The 16,628-nt window shown below is 45.3% G+C and overlaps 1 protein-coding gene across 1 annotated transcript in view, besides 3 other annotated features; it reads left to right on the top strand.

Annotated features, from left to right (window-relative positions):
• Nucleotides 1–16,628, top strand: part of ERN1 (endoplasmic reticulum to nucleus signaling 1) — a 91,003-nt gene that overhangs the window by 49,113 nt on the left and 25,262 nt on the right. Inside the window, exons 3-9 of the mRNA NM_001433.5 lie at nt 224–257; nt 1,298–1,370; nt 5,785–5,857; nt 8,929–9,051; nt 12,741–12,842; nt 14,100–14,361; nt 15,745–15,823. Coding sequence (NP_001424.3) covers nt 224–257; nt 1,298–1,370; nt 5,785–5,857; nt 8,929–9,051; nt 12,741–12,842; nt 14,100–14,361; nt 15,745–15,823 — 746 coding nt within the window. The remainder of the gene's footprint in view (nt 1–223; nt 258–1,297; nt 1,371–5,784; nt 5,858–8,928; nt 9,052–12,740; nt 12,843–14,099; nt 14,362–15,744; nt 15,824–16,628) is intronic.
• Nucleotides 5,789–6,083: a silencer, noted in NCBI's record as "tiled region #10488; K562 Repressive non-DNase unmatched - State 15:Elon". NCBI's record gives its function as "represses a minimal TATA promoter and a strong SV40 promoter by Sharpr-MPRA in K562 cells {active_cell/tissue: K562}" and the evidence as "EXISTENCE:reporter gene assay evidence [ECO:0000049][PMID:27701403]".
• Nucleotides 6,267–6,346: an enhancer, noted in NCBI's record as "active region_12578". NCBI's record gives its function as "activates an Ori minimal core promoter by ATAC-STARR-seq in GM12878 lymphoblastoid cells {active_cell/tissue: GM12878}" and the evidence as "EXISTENCE:reporter gene assay evidence [ECO:0000049][PMID:35858748]".
• Nucleotides 6,567–6,626: a silencer, noted in NCBI's record as "silent region_8838". NCBI's record gives its function as "represses an Ori minimal core promoter by ATAC-STARR-seq in GM12878 lymphoblastoid cells {active_cell/tissue: GM12878}" and the evidence as "EXISTENCE:reporter gene assay evidence [ECO:0000049][PMID:35858748]".

Below are 16,628 nucleotides of genomic sequence, written 5' to 3'. Positions count from 1 at the left end.
GTAACTATCCAAGAGCTTACATTTGCATCATTGTGGATATGTTTTCTAAAAGATATGCACGGTGATACAAAAATGCATATAACCTTCACGTGCACTAGCCCATGTAGGTTAACAGGAGGGAGAAAGTTATTACCGGTACAACTTGGCCTGGTCCTGGGAAGCCTCTGGGAATCTTGACATTTTGGGATGTTTCTGATGATGGCTTTGTTGTTCTTTTGCACAGATCCAGTCCTGCAGGTCCCAACACATGTGGAAGAGTAAGTTTTCTGATTCGCTCAGTACTTCCCTTTAATTCAGTCTTCTTCATTCAATCAGTGTTTATGAGGCCAGTTGCTGGGAGTGCATATATGTGTAAGTTTGAGGAATAACAGTGAGTGACATATAAAGTCTTACAGGTGCTATGATGAAAGCTTGTGTTGAGGAGGAGGTGGTCAGTTTCCTGAGGGAGAAGGGTAGTGGTTTTAAAAAGGCTTATTTGAGATGAAACTCAAGTTGAGCTTTGAACTTAAACTTCCAAAGTCCTCAGGGGGACTGGACCTCTTCCTCTTTGCTGTGTCATATCATGGAGAAAAAAGGTGAATGTGACCTGCTACTACAGAGTGTGTGTTGGGGTAAAAGCTGGATAGCACTGGTAAGAGCCTTAAATGATGGCACAACCTAAGGAACGATTCAGCCAAGGGTTTCTGAGGGACTGTAGTTATAGTTTAGTCTTTAGCAGATTAACTTGACAAAAGACCACTTCACATCTGCTTCAAGGGAAGCTACTGACGGAGGGACCTTGATCTGTCCCCTTGGCGGGTTCTCTCTGATGTCAAGCTGTTAGAGTCTGCTTTTATTGCCTCCAGTTAAACAAAAAATATCTCTTGAAAACTAAAAGCAGATTTGTTCTACCTGTTTATGTACCATGCCATCCTATCAAATATTAATGGCTGGAGTTCTATATACAATTGATGTAGAAATTGAAAAGTGGACTTACTGGGTCCTTTTCACATATTTTGCCTTCATCCAGAGTGCTTTGACCAAATGATAATTTGTCTTCTATGGTTTTGTATGATTTTTCCTTTCAGGCCGCTTTTCTCCACTCAAGGATAGTGTATACCACCATAGGGGTATTTTATTTATCTGTGGTTGAAGTGAGAGAGAGTAGTGGGTGGAATTGTCTTATATACTCACTTATACACCTACACACAACCACCCTCCACTCTCTATTCCTCCATCATGGGTTTGCGTGGCTTTGGTATGTTGTTCCATGCCCTGGGCTGTAATTTATCTTTGATATTTATTATTTAATCTCTAGGCCTGCCTTTCTCCCAGATCCTAATGATGGCAGCCTGTATACGCTTGGAAGCAAGAATAATGAAGGCCTGACGGTGAGTATATTTAGCTGCTTTTTGTACTCCAGGGGTTCTAGACCAGCGGTCCTTAAGTGTGTCTGCACAGTGTCTTACTGTGTCTCCCACCTGGAGCTTTTAAAAACAACCCCTGGGGATTCTGATTCAGGTGGTCTAGAGAGGAGCCTGGGCATCAGTCTTTTCAGAGAGCTTCCTAAATGAGCTTTTAAATGTGGTGCCAGAGTTCAGAAACACGGATGCAGACCAGCAGGTTCTCATGGCCCAGCCCATACACTGGAGGATATAATGTTAAGAACAGGGTTTGCTCTAACTGGTGACCCTCACCTTAGGAGGGAGGGATATAGTTTGAAATGCTGTCTCCACCTGCCCCACCTTCCGATGACTCCTTAAGGGAGTCATGTGATATTCTACCCTCATTTCCATTTGAGAATCTAAACCAGTGGTTTTCAGCCTTAATTATACATTGTAATAACCTGGAATTCGAAAAAACAGCATTAGGACCTAGAACATAGGGCCCAATCCCAGAAGGTCCCGATTTAATTGATCTAAGTCATCAGGACTTTTTAAAAGCTCCCCAGATAAGAGAATTTAGAAACAGGCCCACACATATGGTCATCTGATATGTGACAAAGGTGACACTGCAGTGTCCTGTCTTGTCTTTTCTCTTTTCTTTTGAGACAGGGTCTCACTTTGTCACCCAGGTTGGAATGCAGTGGCACAATCTTGGCTCACTACAACCTCCGTCTCACAGGCTCAAGCCAGCCTCCCACCTCAGCCTCCTGAGTAGCTGGGACCACAGGTGTACATCTCCACGCCCAGCTAATTTTTTGTATTTTTGGTAGAAATGGGGTTTCATCATATTGCCTAGGCTGGTCTCCAACTTCTGGGCTCAAGCGATCCACCCACCTCAGCCTCCCAAAGTGCTGGGATTACAGACGTGAGCCACCACCACCCAGCTTACAGTGTTTTTGCAATAAGTGGTGTAGGTCAATTGGGATATCCATATAGGAATAAAAGTATTGACTCCTACCCCCCTACAACACATATAAAATCAGTTCCAGATAGATCACACATCTAAATGTGAAATGCAAAATAATAAAGCTTTAAGAAAAAAAGTAATGGAACCATCTTCATGATCTTAGAGTAAGTAGAGATTTATTAAGTAGGATATTAAAGAACACTATAAATTTAGGAAAAAATCAATATATTGATTATATTAAAATTAAGAACTTTTCCTCATTAAGAGGCCACAAAGTATTTGTAGTATACACATCCAACAAAAGTTCATATTCAGAATATATGAAGAAATCCTATGGTACGTTAAAAAAAGACAGCCCAATGGAAGAATAACAGAAGAGAATATCCAAATGGTCATAAACATATGAAAAGATGTTCCATTTTATTAGTCATTTGGAAATGCAAATTAAAGCCACAGTGCCATACTGCTACTCACCAGAATGGCCAAAACAAGGAAAGTAGAAAAAGAAAACATGTTGGTGATGTGGAGCAACCAGGACTCTCACCTACTGCTGGCGGAAGTGCAGGGTGGCACAAGTGATTTGGAAAACTGTTGGCAGTAAGTGCTAAAGTCCTTAGGACCCAGTAATGCCCTCCTAGGTTACAGACCCAACAGAAATGCACATTTGTGGCTGGGTGCGGTGGCTCATGCCTGTAATCCCAGCACTTTGGGAGGCCAAGGTGGGCGGATCACGAGGTCAGGAGATCGAGACCATGGTGAAACCCCGTCTCTACTAAAAATACAAAAAATTAGCCAGGTGCGGTGGCGGGCGCCTATAGTCCCAGCTACTTGGGAGGCTGAGGCAGGAAAATGGCGTGAACCCGGGAGGTGGAGCTTGCAGTGAGCTGAGATCACGCCACTACACTCCAGCCTGGGCAACAGAGCGAGACTCCATCTCAAAAAAAAAAAAAAGAAGAAATGCACTTTTGTTCACCAATGGACATGTGCCCAAATGTACAGCAGCACCATTTATAATAAGCAGAGGGTGGCCAAATAACATCCACAGTGGAGTGGAAAAATAAACTCTGGAAGCGGCATGCACGGTGATGAGGACCAACAGTCTATGACGACACACGCCGCGGATGACTCACAAGCGTGATGTTGAGCAAAACATGACAGACAAAAAAGGCCACACGCTGCCATTCACTTATGTAAAGCCAAAAACAGGAAAAACGAGTCTCTGCTGTTTTGAAGTTAGGATAATAGTTACCCCTGGAGAGTTATGGCTAGAAAGGGGGGCAAGAGAGGAGGGGGGCTTCTGTTTCTTCACCTGGATGCCGGTTACGTGGGTATGTTCACTTTGTGAAACTTGACTGAGCTGTGTGATGATGAGTGCTTTTCTGTTTGCGTATTATGCATCAGTAGGAAGTTTTTAAAGCTTCCAAGTAATTCTCATGGGCAACCAAGGATGAGAACCACTGATCTAGGCTGTAAGTGGATTGTGGACTTTAACTTGGGTGTTTTAAAATTATTTTGTGAATGCCTGTGACCAAAACAGAGGGGAGGAGGGCAAGTTTGTATAGAGCTGTGTGTATTTCACCTTCAACACTGCTCTCCGTTGGTTTCTCTCCACAGCTCTGTAGTCCCCATTTCTTAAGCAATTTGTTTGCCAGAAACTGGGGTGAGTGAGTTGTATAAGTTATCTCATTGGAATCTCTCAGCAGCCCTGTGGGTGATATCCCCGTTTTAGAGGTGTGGAAACAGCCTGGAGAAGTGAAGGAATATGTCCAGGGCTGAGTCTTCTAGTGTTGGAGTTGGTTCTTAAAGAGGATGCCCAGCCGGGCCTGTAATCCCAGCACTTTGGGAGGCCGAGGCGGGCGGATCACAAGGTCAGGAGATCGAGACCATCCTGGCTAACACGGTGAAACCCCGTCTCTACTAAAAAATACAAAAAATTAGCCAGGCGCAGTGGCGGGCGCCTGTAGTCCCAGCTACTTGGGAGGCTGAGGCAGGAGAATGGCATCAACCCGGGAGGCGGAGCTTGCAGTGAGCCGAGATCACGCCACTGCACTTCAGCCTGGGTGAGAGTGAGACTCCGTCTCAAAAAAAAAAAAAAAGAGGATGCCCTTCATCACTCCCTTGTGCTCCTTTCTGGGTTGTGGTTTAGCAGCTCCAGAAACAATGTTTCCCAAGCTTGGGCCTTGAATCAGGGCACCAGTGGCAGTGCTCAGCAGAGACCACAGGACTCCAGAAGACTAGAAGATCTGCAGTGCCTTTCTGATTCTCAGAAACACATGGCAAAACCCAGTCATTGCAGCCTCTCTGAAGCATTTTTCCTCCTCTGAGGCTTGGTTTGAATGTTGGGATGATGGGAAAATCCAAGTTATTTAGTATGCAAAGCTCTGCTTATTAAAGCTAGAGAGAAATCTTTTCTTTCTTGGAGAAAAAGGTGACCATGCAGTAGAGGCATTTCTATAAAAGCAGGTATCTATAGAACAATTTCAAAAACACAGAATGTTCTAAAAATAAAGTATACTGAAACAAGCATTAACCAAAAGAGCTCGTCAGATGTCAGCTGTAGACTCAGAAGAATCAGTTTTATGATGAAATGCAGTTGAAACATTTGGATTCCTTTGAGTTTCTTTTCCTGGCACCTATCTTAACTTCCTCTTTAAAACCAAAAGTCTCAATTTTTCTTGTTTTTCAATAGTGAATTATTTACTGAAGAAAACATCAAAACTCTTTTCCACCTCAAACTCTTGTGTTGCCCCTGTAATGGCGACTTCTCCTTTCCCTCGAAGCTTGAGCTTGGCACCAAGGTTGCATCCCTTCAGCATCAATGTCCTGGCTCCCTCCCATGGGGCTCTACAAAGCACTGTCATTTTACTCAGTCTAGCCAGCTCTGGCTCTGTATTCCAAGCCAGGACAATTCTTTCTTAGCATTTCAAAGAATATATAACTCTCCATATTTGTGTAAATCTTTTCAGAAAAGGTTTGTGTCACCCCTGGGAAGCACCCTGGACAGGAGACCTTGAGGGGCCTCTGCACATGGTGTCAAGTAAAGGAGTGGATGTTTACAGAGCTCAGGGACCTGGGAGCTTGTCAAAATAGATGTGGAAAATTAGCTGGGTGTAGTGGCAACATGCCTGTAATCCCAGCTACTTGGGAGGCTGAGGTGAGAGAATCACTTGAACCCAGGAGGCAGAGGTTGCAGTGAGCCAAGATGGTGCCACTGCACTCCAGCCTGGGCGACAGAATGAGACCCTGTCTCAAAAAAATGAAAATAAAAACACAGTAGATGTGGAAGCATAGGGTGCCCCCTTCTCCTTTGTATTCAGTTAGGAAAACTCTCATCTGCAAAGTGCTTCTCTCTTTTTAGCAGAATTAGGTAATAGAAACAAACTGCCTGGTAAAATTGTAATAATTGCACAAGACTTGGTTAACTTTTTTTTTTCTTTTTTTTTTTTTTTAAAGAAACTTCCTTTTACCATCCCAGAATTGGTGCAGGCATCCCCATGCCGAAGTTCAGATGGAATCCTCTACATGGGTAAGAGTTCCTGTCTCCAGAAACTTGTGTCTCTTTGATGTAAGTCCCGGAATCTGGGAAAGTGGCATGCGGAGAGAGAGGGCGCAGTCACCGCCTTGCCAACCCTTTCTTTCCTGGGTTGTGCTTCAGGTGCTGTTCTCCCCAGGATCAGCTGACCAATTAAGAAAGGGCTCCCCCAACTTGGGAGAAGAATTGACATCATTAATATGGTTACTCATTTAACAAGCTTTTAGTTGCTGTGTTGACTTAGTCCTGAGATTCCAAGATTGCAACATACCCAGTGGCAAATGGATGAAATTTAAAGTGAGTACAATCATCTAAGCCAAGGAAGGAAAGCCAGGCTCTGCCTGTTAATTATAGCGCTTTCTTAGTATTTCCTGCTATCAGAATGTTTGATAGAACAGCACTTAATAGCTTGCCTAGATAAACTGCCTTCATACCTATGGGGTCACAGCTTTCAAAGCATCAGATCACCTGCTTTTCTTTTACTATGTTGCTGCCAAAATGTCAATAAAAAAGCATTTGCAACACAAAGGAGAGCTGTATTTATCTTGAAATCATAGTAGCAATAATAGCCCGTATTTATACAGCAGCTTTCTTTTTGAGGAACTGAAAGTGCTTATTGCCTATTCATGCCTCGAGGAGCTTTATGTGTATTTCTGGGTCTCAAGTGCAGGCCAGACTTTTAAGGTTTTGCTCAGGACACTGAGACTCTTGCTTCCTTCCACACCTTCAGAATGAGGAACTCCCAGCCTAGGAATTTGGAGGAAACGATCGGCACAGATTTTTCTCTCTGTGGGCCGTGACCTGGGAACATCTGATAATCTTCTGACCATCCATGTCACTGTGTCCTATCTGGTCTTCCAGCTTTTGCCAGCAATTCATCACTTATAGTCTGCTTAGGATATTGTCTTCTTATCATCTTTGTGCTGTGGCCTCTTAGGCGAGTTCATTAAACATATTTAAGAGCATGGTAGTTGCCCAATCTACCCATTAAAGTAATAACTGAGTTATGTAAACTCTAGTGGTTCTTGAAGTAACCAGCTATGTCATGCTAGATGGAAAAGGTTCGTGGTCCTAGCTCTGTTCTCCTCTACCTTCAGATCATATTCATATTATGATTTTGTCAGTGAGAACAGAGTTGCGATCCATGGGTAAGTTGCACACATGTGGAGCAGGCATGTATGCAACATCTGTTAGAACTTTAGAGGTATAGCATTAGCAAATTACAGGCCAGGTGCAGTGGCTCACAACTGTAATCCCAGTACCTTGGGAGGGTGAGGCAGGAGGTTTGCTTGAGGCCAGGAGTTTGAAACTAGCCTGGTCAACATAGTGAGACCCCGTCTCTACAGAAGAAACATTTTTAAAAAATCAGCCAGGTGTAGGCCAGGTGCAGTGGCTCACGCCTGTAATCCCAACACTTTGGGAGGCTGAGGCGGGCAGATCACGAGGTCAGGAGATCGAGACCATCCTGGCTAACACAGTGAAACCCCATCTCTACTAAAAATACGAAAAATAAGCCAAGCGTGGTAGCACATGCTTGTAGTCCCAGCTACTCAGGAGGCTGAGGCAGCAGTATCGCTTGAACCCTGGAGGCGGAGGTTGCAGTGAGCTGAGATTGCACCACTGCACTCCAGCCTGGGCGACAGAGCGAGACTCCGTCTCAAAAAAAATAAAAAATAAATAAAAATTAGCCAGGTGGCCGGGCATGGTGGCTCACACCTGTAATCCCAGCACTTTGGGAGGCCGAGTTGGGTGGATCACGAAGTCAGGAGATGGAGACCATCCTGACTAACACGGTGAAACCCTGTCTCTACTAAAAAAAAAAAAAAAAAAAAATTTGCTGGGTGTGGTGGCACGCACCTGTAGTCCCAGCTACTCAGGAGGCTGAGGCAGGAGAATCGCTTGAACCTGGGAGGTGGAGGTTGCAGTGAGCCGAGATCACTCCACTGCACTCCAGCCTGGGCGGCAGAGCGAGACTCCATCCCAAAAAAAATAAAAAAAGAGCCAGGCATAGTGGCACATGCCTGTAGTCTCAACTATGGGGAGGCTGAGGCAAAAGGATGACTTGAGTCCAGGAGTTTGAGGCTGCAGTGAGCCGTGACCACACCTCTGTACTCCTCCTTGGGCGACAGAGCAAGACTCTGTCTCAAAAAAAAAAAAAAAAAAATTTCAAAGGCTCTGTGACCTTCTCCAGCATCTCAATATTCTTCTTCTAAGAGTCTCCAAAACAGGAGACTTTTCCAATAAGTTAGGAAGATAAAAATGACCACCAGAGATCATGCTTTACAAAATGGAAATACACGCATCACAGTGACTGTGTTGACCTTCACATTGGAGGCCCTTGCTACAGACTCTCCATTCCTAGGATGCTGTTGGGTATATACCATTGATACATATGCTTTGGGTTTTCTTAATATATAGTGTTATTTACTGTGCTGTCTGCCTGTCATAATCAGCTGACCAAGATTAGGGGGTATGGCCCGAGGCCAGGGAATTACTTACTGGCTGGGAACAGAGGCCGAGACAACTTTGACATCCTTAGCATCAGGTTGCAACCAACTCCACTGACCAGTCCCAGGTACTAGTTAATTATAGTCATAAACAGTAACTGTGGATCCTTCTCACATGGTGGCTGGTTATTAGGGAGGTTGAGAAATGTGAATGATGGTTATTAGGGAGATGAACCCCTGGGCACATTTCTGTATTTCTATAGATCCCAGTCCACGGGAAAAGGATTGCCCTTCACAGGCAAGACTTTTCATATTTAAAGCCACTCATCAAAGCAATAAAATCTAACTTGAAAGTTTGGGGAACTTTTTGAAACTATAATTATGTTATTGGGTTTGGAGGAATTTGTATACCATGTTTAGGTTATTAAATTATTATAAGACCTATGGACCTAAGAAGTTTTATTATCTCTGCATTACCATTTATATCATCACCTTAGAAATGACATCCTAAGAAATTCAGGTCTATCTCTCTCAATACAGAGCATCTTGGCTGCTAGTTTGGCAGCGATACTTTTTTCCATATGGTGTAAACGACGATGTGTTTTTGTGTCCTTTCAGGTAAAAAGCAGGACATCTGGTATGTTATTGACCTCCTGACCGGAGAGAAGCAGCAGACTTTGTCATCGGCCTTTGCAGATAGTCTCTGCCCATCAACCTCTCTTCTGTATCTTGGGCGAACAGGTAAGAAATGAACCTTTGTCTTCTACAACCTGCCTGTTTCCAGAAGATCGGAAGAAGCTCCCCAGCCTCCTTCCCTAGAAGGTGGCCAGAGCTGCTTTTTTCCAAACACAGGTCCCATCATGTCATTTTCCTTTATAAGACCCTTCAGTGTCCCCCCAGTGTGCAAGGGATACAGTCCAAACTGCACCACGGCCCAGAAAAACCCCTGTGACGCCGCTGCCACCTTTCTCGCCTCATTTCTCTCATTTCAAAGTTGCCTGGCCGGGCGTGGTGGCTCACGCCTGTAATTCCAGTACTTTGGGAGGCCGAGGCAGGTGGATCACCTGAGGTCAGGAGTTCGAGACCAGCCTGACCAACATGGCGAAACCCCATCTGTACTAAAAAAATACAAAATTAGTCAGGTGTGGTGGCATGTGCCTGTAATCCCAGCTACTCAGGAGGCTGAGGCAGGAGAATTGCCTGAACTGGGGAGGTGGAGGTTGCAGTGAGCCAAGATCAAGCCACTGCACTCCAGCCTGGGCAACAAGAGTAAAACTCCATCCCCCCTGCCCAAAAAAAAAAAAGTTTCCCAATTAGGATGAACTACCTGCAGCTCCCAGAATAGCAGTGTTGTTTTTAAAGACTTGTAGTGGTGTGGTCCTCTCCACCAGGTATGCCTGTTTTTGCCTATCTGGCAAATATCCTCTCTCACAACTGTACTCAAAAGTCACCTTCTCTGTGAAGCCTCTTCTGCAGCCTCACAGCCTGCACCCTGCTCAGGAACACCCGGCTCTCCCATTCTAGGGGCACACGTAGCAGTTAACAGGCCTGTAGTGGCAGCCATCTCACCCCTCGTCATTGTCCCTTGACAGGCATGGCTTGCACCCTCTTCACCGCACCATTTTGTGTTTCCTCCCTTTTCAGCCTCTTTCTTCTTAACACTTGGCACTGCATATTTATAAATTCAATGTGCCTACTTCCTGCCTCCCTCACTAGAATATCAGTTCCCTGAGGGTACGACTTTGTTTTGCTCAGCTGCTGTCTCTCTACATCAGGCATATTGCCTGATGTGTAGCAGGGGCTCAATGTTTGAATGTATGAATGGGTGGGTCCCATTATTGCAGAGACCTGCCTTACTTATTACCATATGTGCAGCACCTCACACATGTCGGGGATGCCATGAAAATTGTTGAACGATACTTAAAGCTAAAAGGAGAAACAAAAAACATTTAGAAGGAAGAAATTATACCAAAAACCTAGGATGAATTCATTACAATTGAGCACTACATTTAGGTCTAAACTTTCAGGCAGCCAAGGATTTGAAAAAAGAGAACCGTCCTGAAAGTGTTGGGGAAAGCACTGCATTTCTAAAACTCAGTGAGACTAATCTTGGGCCCTGCAGAAGCTGGCCGGGCTCTCCTGGAAATGGGTGGAAGGTCTTAGACTGTAGAAATCATGTATTCCAGCTTCTGACTGTAGTGACTGCTTAGGATTTATGTGTTTACCTTTTCCATTAAGTAAATTCTTACAGTGGCCCCAGCTTCATCCAGATATAAAAATTGCGTCATTCTCAGGTGAAATTGTGGTGTTCGAAGGAGCTGGGATATGCATGAGGTGGAATGTGTGTGCATAGGTGTGTAAATCCATTGCCTCCATTATCTATTGCTGCATGACAAACCACCCCAACTTAGCATTTTATTGTTAATGATTCTGTAGGGAATTCAGGAAGGACTCAACAAGAACCCATCATCTTTATTCCACATGCTTGGTTGGCCTCACTCATGTATCTGAGACTTCAGTTCAGTTCCGTGTGACCTTTCTCCATACAGATAGCCTGGACTCTTGATATGGCAGCGGGCTCCCTCTTGAGTAAAAATGGGTGTTACAGTGCCTCCTAAGGTCTGGGCTCAAAAGTTCCAGAACCTTCCTTCCACTGCAGTCTGTTGGTCAAAGCAAGTCTCAAGGCCAGCTGAGAATCAAGGGTAGAGATATAGACTCGGCTTCTTGATGGGAAGAGTAACATGCATTACAGGAATGGGAAGAATTGGTGGTAGTGACCTTTAGAGATGTTCTACTGCAGTCCTCCCTCAGGCTGCAGTAGTTTACAACCCTCCCACTCCCTCCAAAGACCCCCAAAGTCCAATCCCAGCATCAGTCCCAAAATCTCACCTCTCATTATCTGCATGAGGTCTGGAGGTAGATGATGCTCCTCAAGTGTGGCACCTCTTGATCGGAGACCTGTGAATTAAAGAGACAGGGTCTTTCTCCCCTTCCCATCCCCCACCCAACATGCAGTGGTGAGACAGAGACAGGATAGCTGCAGTAAACATGTTCACTCAAAAAAGGGCAGGAAAGAGAGACACATATCACACATTGGGCCTTAGTAATTCTGAAATCCAGCCAGGCACATGTTTTCAGGTTCCCCTCCTCCAGGGGTAGGGAATATTCCTTCATTAGGGCCCAGTTTTGCCCTCTGGGATTGGTTCCCTAATATAGTGCTCTCAGTGGCTCTTGGTTCTGCCCTCTGAGAAGTCCTTTCTTTTCCATAACAAATGGCCAGTTTTGTATCTTTCTCAGTCCGTTCCTTGTCCATTGAAATTTGGGGATCTAGAAGCCCTTTTTTTTCAATTTGACTGTCTCTGTTCCTTTTAGTCTATGCTGATACCACTCCTTTAAAAACTATGTGGGCTTCCCATGTGTCAAATTATAATTTATTCCATTAGATAAAAGCCATACCCACAAGTTTCTAGACTTTGGAATGTGAGTGCAATGGGACAACACATGGTTTTTAGAACTCCCTTGATGGGGGCAGAGGGTCTATGAGGGACCACCTTAAAATCTTTCAGAGGTCTCAAAGAAGGATCTTACAGCTTCAACTTTGATTTGGTTGATCTTTACCCTGAGCCCATTTTTTGTTGCTGGCAGTACCCTGGATTTGATCTTTTCCCTAAAGTTATTTTTTATATTGAGAATCTTTTCCAGCGATATTCAGTCCTGGACCCTTTATAGTTCCTCTGTATTCTGCTGAATGATTTCTTCCTCAGCTCATTTGTCTCACAATATATCATAGACAGCTAAGAGAAACCATTCAACATTTTCTGCCTTCTGTCTGGAAATCTCCTTAGTTGGATCCCTGAGTTGATTAGGTACTTTTTCTGTCTTCCAAGTTACTGCAAGCAATAGTCATGCTCATCATGGCACCCTCCACAAGCTGGGTCACCCCTTTTCCATTTTCAATAGCAGTGCCCCCTCTGCACTAGCAAGTCTCCACCAACCTTTTTATCAGCCTCCCAGCCTCCACCTGCCAGCTGGTCCTAAAGTCAATGCCACATGTTTTAGGTGTTTGTTATGGCGCCATCCTGCTTCAAGGTGCCAATTTTTAATTGTCAGCAATCCATTGCTATGTAATAAGGCACCCCGAAGCTTAATGGCTAACAACAACATTCTATTGCTTACACTTCTGTGAGCCATGAGTCCAAGGGCATAGCGAGGGTGGGTCGTCTCTGCTTCCACATGCTGTCAGCCAGTTTCACTCATGTGTCTGGGCCTTCAGTTCTCCTCACATTGCCTTTCTCTATCGACATGGATAGTCTGGACTTTTTGGCCTACAGTTTAGGGAGGATTTGTTTGTTATAATTAGATAAGGACCACACCTCAGTAGGTACTATGGCCCCTCCGTGGTAATGGGCTGGCTGGTCTGTGTTCTTTAGAATACACCATCACCATGTACGACACCAAAACCCGAGAGCTCCGGTGGAATGCCACCTACTTTGACTATGCGGCCTCACTGCCTGAGGACGACGTGGACTACAGTAAGTGCTCTCTGCTGGATTTCACAAGCTTGGGCCAGTACTTTTGACCTATGTGGAAACAGTGGCTCCAGAAAGTAGGATTTTCTTTTAAGATACTCTTTGTCACCAGGTTCTTTCTTTCCATGGACTTTTCATGGGCTTATCATAAATACTTCCCACAGTCAATGTGCAGGGGCCTTGGTGAAGTCTGAAGGGAAACCGAAGTAAAATGGTGACAAGCTTAGCCAGAGAGGAAGGAGGACATCCCTCGTTGAGTCTTTCTATGTCACAGAAGGAATTTACTGCAAGCCCATGGAAAGTAGAAGTAAAATCAGCATAGGACATTAACAACCCTGTCAAGAAGGCCACTCTGCAAATGTGACTCATCCCTAGTTATTTCTGCAGTTAACATTCACCCAACTCAAATGAAAACTAAAAACCAATTTGCCACCTTAACATTGGTATCAAAGTTGGACTCTGCTTTTTCTTGTCAAGGACCTAGAATATTTTCGTTTTTCTCTGAGGACTCCTTTGTGAATCTGATGGGACAGTGTCAGTGGTTCAGGTCTGACTTTCAGGGTGTTTTTTTGTTGTTTTTTTTTTTGAGGCAAGTTCTCCCTCTGTTCCCCAGGATGTGTGCAGGAGTGCAGTCAGGGCTCACTGCAGCCTGAAACTCCTAGGCTCAAGCGATCTTCCCACCTCAGCCTACTGAGTAGCTGGGACCACAGGCACGTACCGCCACTCCCCCACCTACCTGGCTAATTTTTTTTTTTTTTTTTTTTTGTAGAGACGGGGGTCTCACTATGTTGCCCAGGCTGGTCTTGAAGTCCTGGACTCAAGTGATCTTCCTACCTCAGCCTCCCAAATTCTTGGGCTTATAGACATGAGCCACCACAGCTGTCCCTGACTTTCAGTTTGATCGATGGGTTTCAAGTGACTGCTATGAAATGCCAGATTAATAGGCATCTCCACTGGCTCCTTCCTCCTCAGTATTTACTCTCACTTATTGAATAGAGTGTTAAAGAACATCACCAAATAAATTGCCTTTGGGAGAGTGATCCTGGCTTGTGTTTATACGCCAGCCAGCTCTCAGTGTCTTGATATTACAGAGACTAAGCGAGTTCATTGGAAACAAGTGAAATTGCTCAGAGGAGATCTGAGAATATTCCAGAAGTCTTGTTTCCTCTAACTGAGTGACTAGAGCCTGCCACAAGAGTAGAGGATGTGGTTGCAAGATGGGGTGAGACTCAGCATGCTTTGTTTATTTGATCTGTACAGAGATGTCCCACTTTGTGTCCAATGGTGATGGGCTGGTGGTGACTGTGGACAGTGAATCTGGGGACGTCCTGTGGATCCAAAACTACGCCTCCCCTGTGGTGGCCTTTTATGTCTGGCAGCGGGAGGGTCTGAGGAAGGTGATGCACATCAATGTCGCTGTGGAGACCCTGCGCTATCTGACCTTCATGTCTGGGGAGGTGGGGCGCATCACAAAGTGGAAGTACCCGTTCCCCAAGGAGACAGAGGCCAAGAGCAAGCTGACGTGAGTTGGGAGCTCGGGGAAGGAGAGGGCGGCCGTGGCCTTCGTGTTCTGGTGCTGTTGCAGTGTAGCAGGCCCTGCACGGGAGGCCAAAGACAGGGCAGTCTCTGAAGCCATGAGGAATATTCAGAGCCAAGACTGTTTCATTTGGAAACCTCAGAATACAAGAGCTGAGGGGCACCCATTAACACTTCAGAGTTATTAAATATTACATAAAAATCATGGATGGGAGGTGTCGGGCACCATGGCATACACCTGTAATTCCAGCTACTTGAGAGGCTGAGGTGGGAGGATTGTTTGAGCACAGGAGTTTGAGGCCAACCTGGGCAACATGGCAAGACCCTCCCCCTGCCACCACACACACACAAATAAAGGTATAGGAAAGAGACTGCCAGTGTAAGTATAGTTTGGATCTATCTTAGGTGGTAGGGATGCAAGAGATTTATTTTTTTAACTTTCTATATTTTCTAAGTTTTTAGGTTATATTCATTTTAAAAATCAGAAAAAATAGTTACAGTGTGTGTGTGTGTCCAAGACTCAGCAGGCTTCTGTTCTCCATCCCCCTCTTCATAGCCTATCACCGAGTCACTTAAACTCCCCAAGCCTCAGTTTCCTACTTTATATATAGAGTTGTGTGGAAGATCAAACAAGATAATATGCCGGCAAGTGTTTAGATTGTAAAACAGCATTCAAATGTAAGGTATTCGTTGAGAGAGGTTTAGATAATGTAGTGGATGACCGATCCCAGGTGGGCTCTTGACAGTAAGCAGAAGGGCCAGGAGGTGTAGCTCTCACCATTTTCTGTCTCCCTGATGTCCCACATGGGGACAGACTACACAGCTGGGGAACCAGAAGTCTCACCAAGTCTGGAATTTCTTATGCATCCCTTTTGCTCTCAGCATCCAGAGTAGAGCAGCTGACCATTTCTCAGGAGTTCTGTAAAACCTCCAGGATCCTTAGAAAGCACAAGGCAGAATGGGGGTAGTTCTGGTGGTCGCTGGAGTGATCGCTGGAGTGAAAGTGTGTTGTAGAGAGTCATCTGAGGGGCCTCGGCGGTGGTAGTAAGCACTCAGTCTCCTCTGTGGCCACTGGGCGTAGTCCTTTCTGCAGGCATCATGGGCATCGTCTAGTCCAGCCCTGCGATTTTGCTGAGGCTTGCCATTAGGTGGCTTGTCCATGTTTCTGCAGTGAGTGACAGCTGGGATGAAGTCCTGTGGTCCTGTTCCCAGGGCAGTGCCCCTAGCTTCACACCCCTACTGCGTTCCTCCATGTCTGGGGGGTTAATGTGGTCATCCCTGCGGGTGGTATTTGGGGTGATGATTACTCCCTTCTGTGGGATCTGGAAATTCAATGACTCTGGAATGCATGTATCTGTTTTTCTCCTAGGCCCACTCTGTATGTTGGGAAATACTCTACCAGCCTCTATGCCTCTCCCTCAATGGTACACGAGGGGGTTGCTGTCGTGGTAAGTCCACTACGGAGGGCTCGCAGCTGCCTAACCACTTCTGTTCCATTTTAGCAAAGAATGACTTTGCTATGCATGAGCATCCTGCAGGTTAAGAATGAAAAACACAAATCTTAAGTTCTCAAAAACAGTTTCTGCACATGCCACATTCTACTTTGAAAGAAAGATACATGACAAAAACAGCTTCTTAAAGCCGAGGAATCCCTGATTATTCCCTTTTGCTTTTGTGATCAAATCTAAACTCCCCAGGCTGGTGTTCATGGCCCTGCTTCATCCAGTCCCACGATGCCCTTCCTCCACCCTGTTAGTTTCTCTATGTGAGTTGCGTGGCCCAACCATGTGCACCTTCTCCCTGACTTCTACAAGCCCCATGTTCATCTTTCCCCGGGGCCTTTGTTCAGGCTGCTCCTCACCTCACACTTCAAATGCCCTTTCTTCTTCCTTTTCCCTACTCAAACCCTTTGCATGCTTTTGCAATCTCGCCGAGCCTCCTTGGGCCTCACAAGCCTGCCTCAAGCATTCTGTCTCTGAAAGTCCAAGGCGTCATAATCCTAGCTGTTTGTCCTGATCCCTACAATGCTTGGGCTGTGTGGTTGGCTCTCTTGTCTTCCCAGTGATTTGGGCGGCTGCTTCTGTGAATAGACAGCGCCTGCCTCTGTCATAGTTCCAGCAGCACCTGAGCCAGCACTGGGCGTGTGGCTGGACTTTATTCCGCCCCATTGGTTGCGTAGATTGTGACTAACAGAGATATCCATTCATTCTCCTTCACTTATGTCTGCTTCTCATAATAGCTTCTTGGAGTTCT

The sequence above is a fragment of the Homo sapiens genome, chromosome 17 (assembly GCF_000001405.40).
Source record: "Homo sapiens chromosome 17, GRCh38.p14 Primary Assembly".
In the NCBI taxonomy this organism is placed as follows: Eukaryota; Metazoa; Chordata; class Mammalia; order Primates; family Hominidae; genus Homo; species Homo sapiens.
The sequence above is the reverse complement of the archived record's forward strand: the minus strand, read 5'-3'. Positions and strand labels throughout refer to the sequence as shown.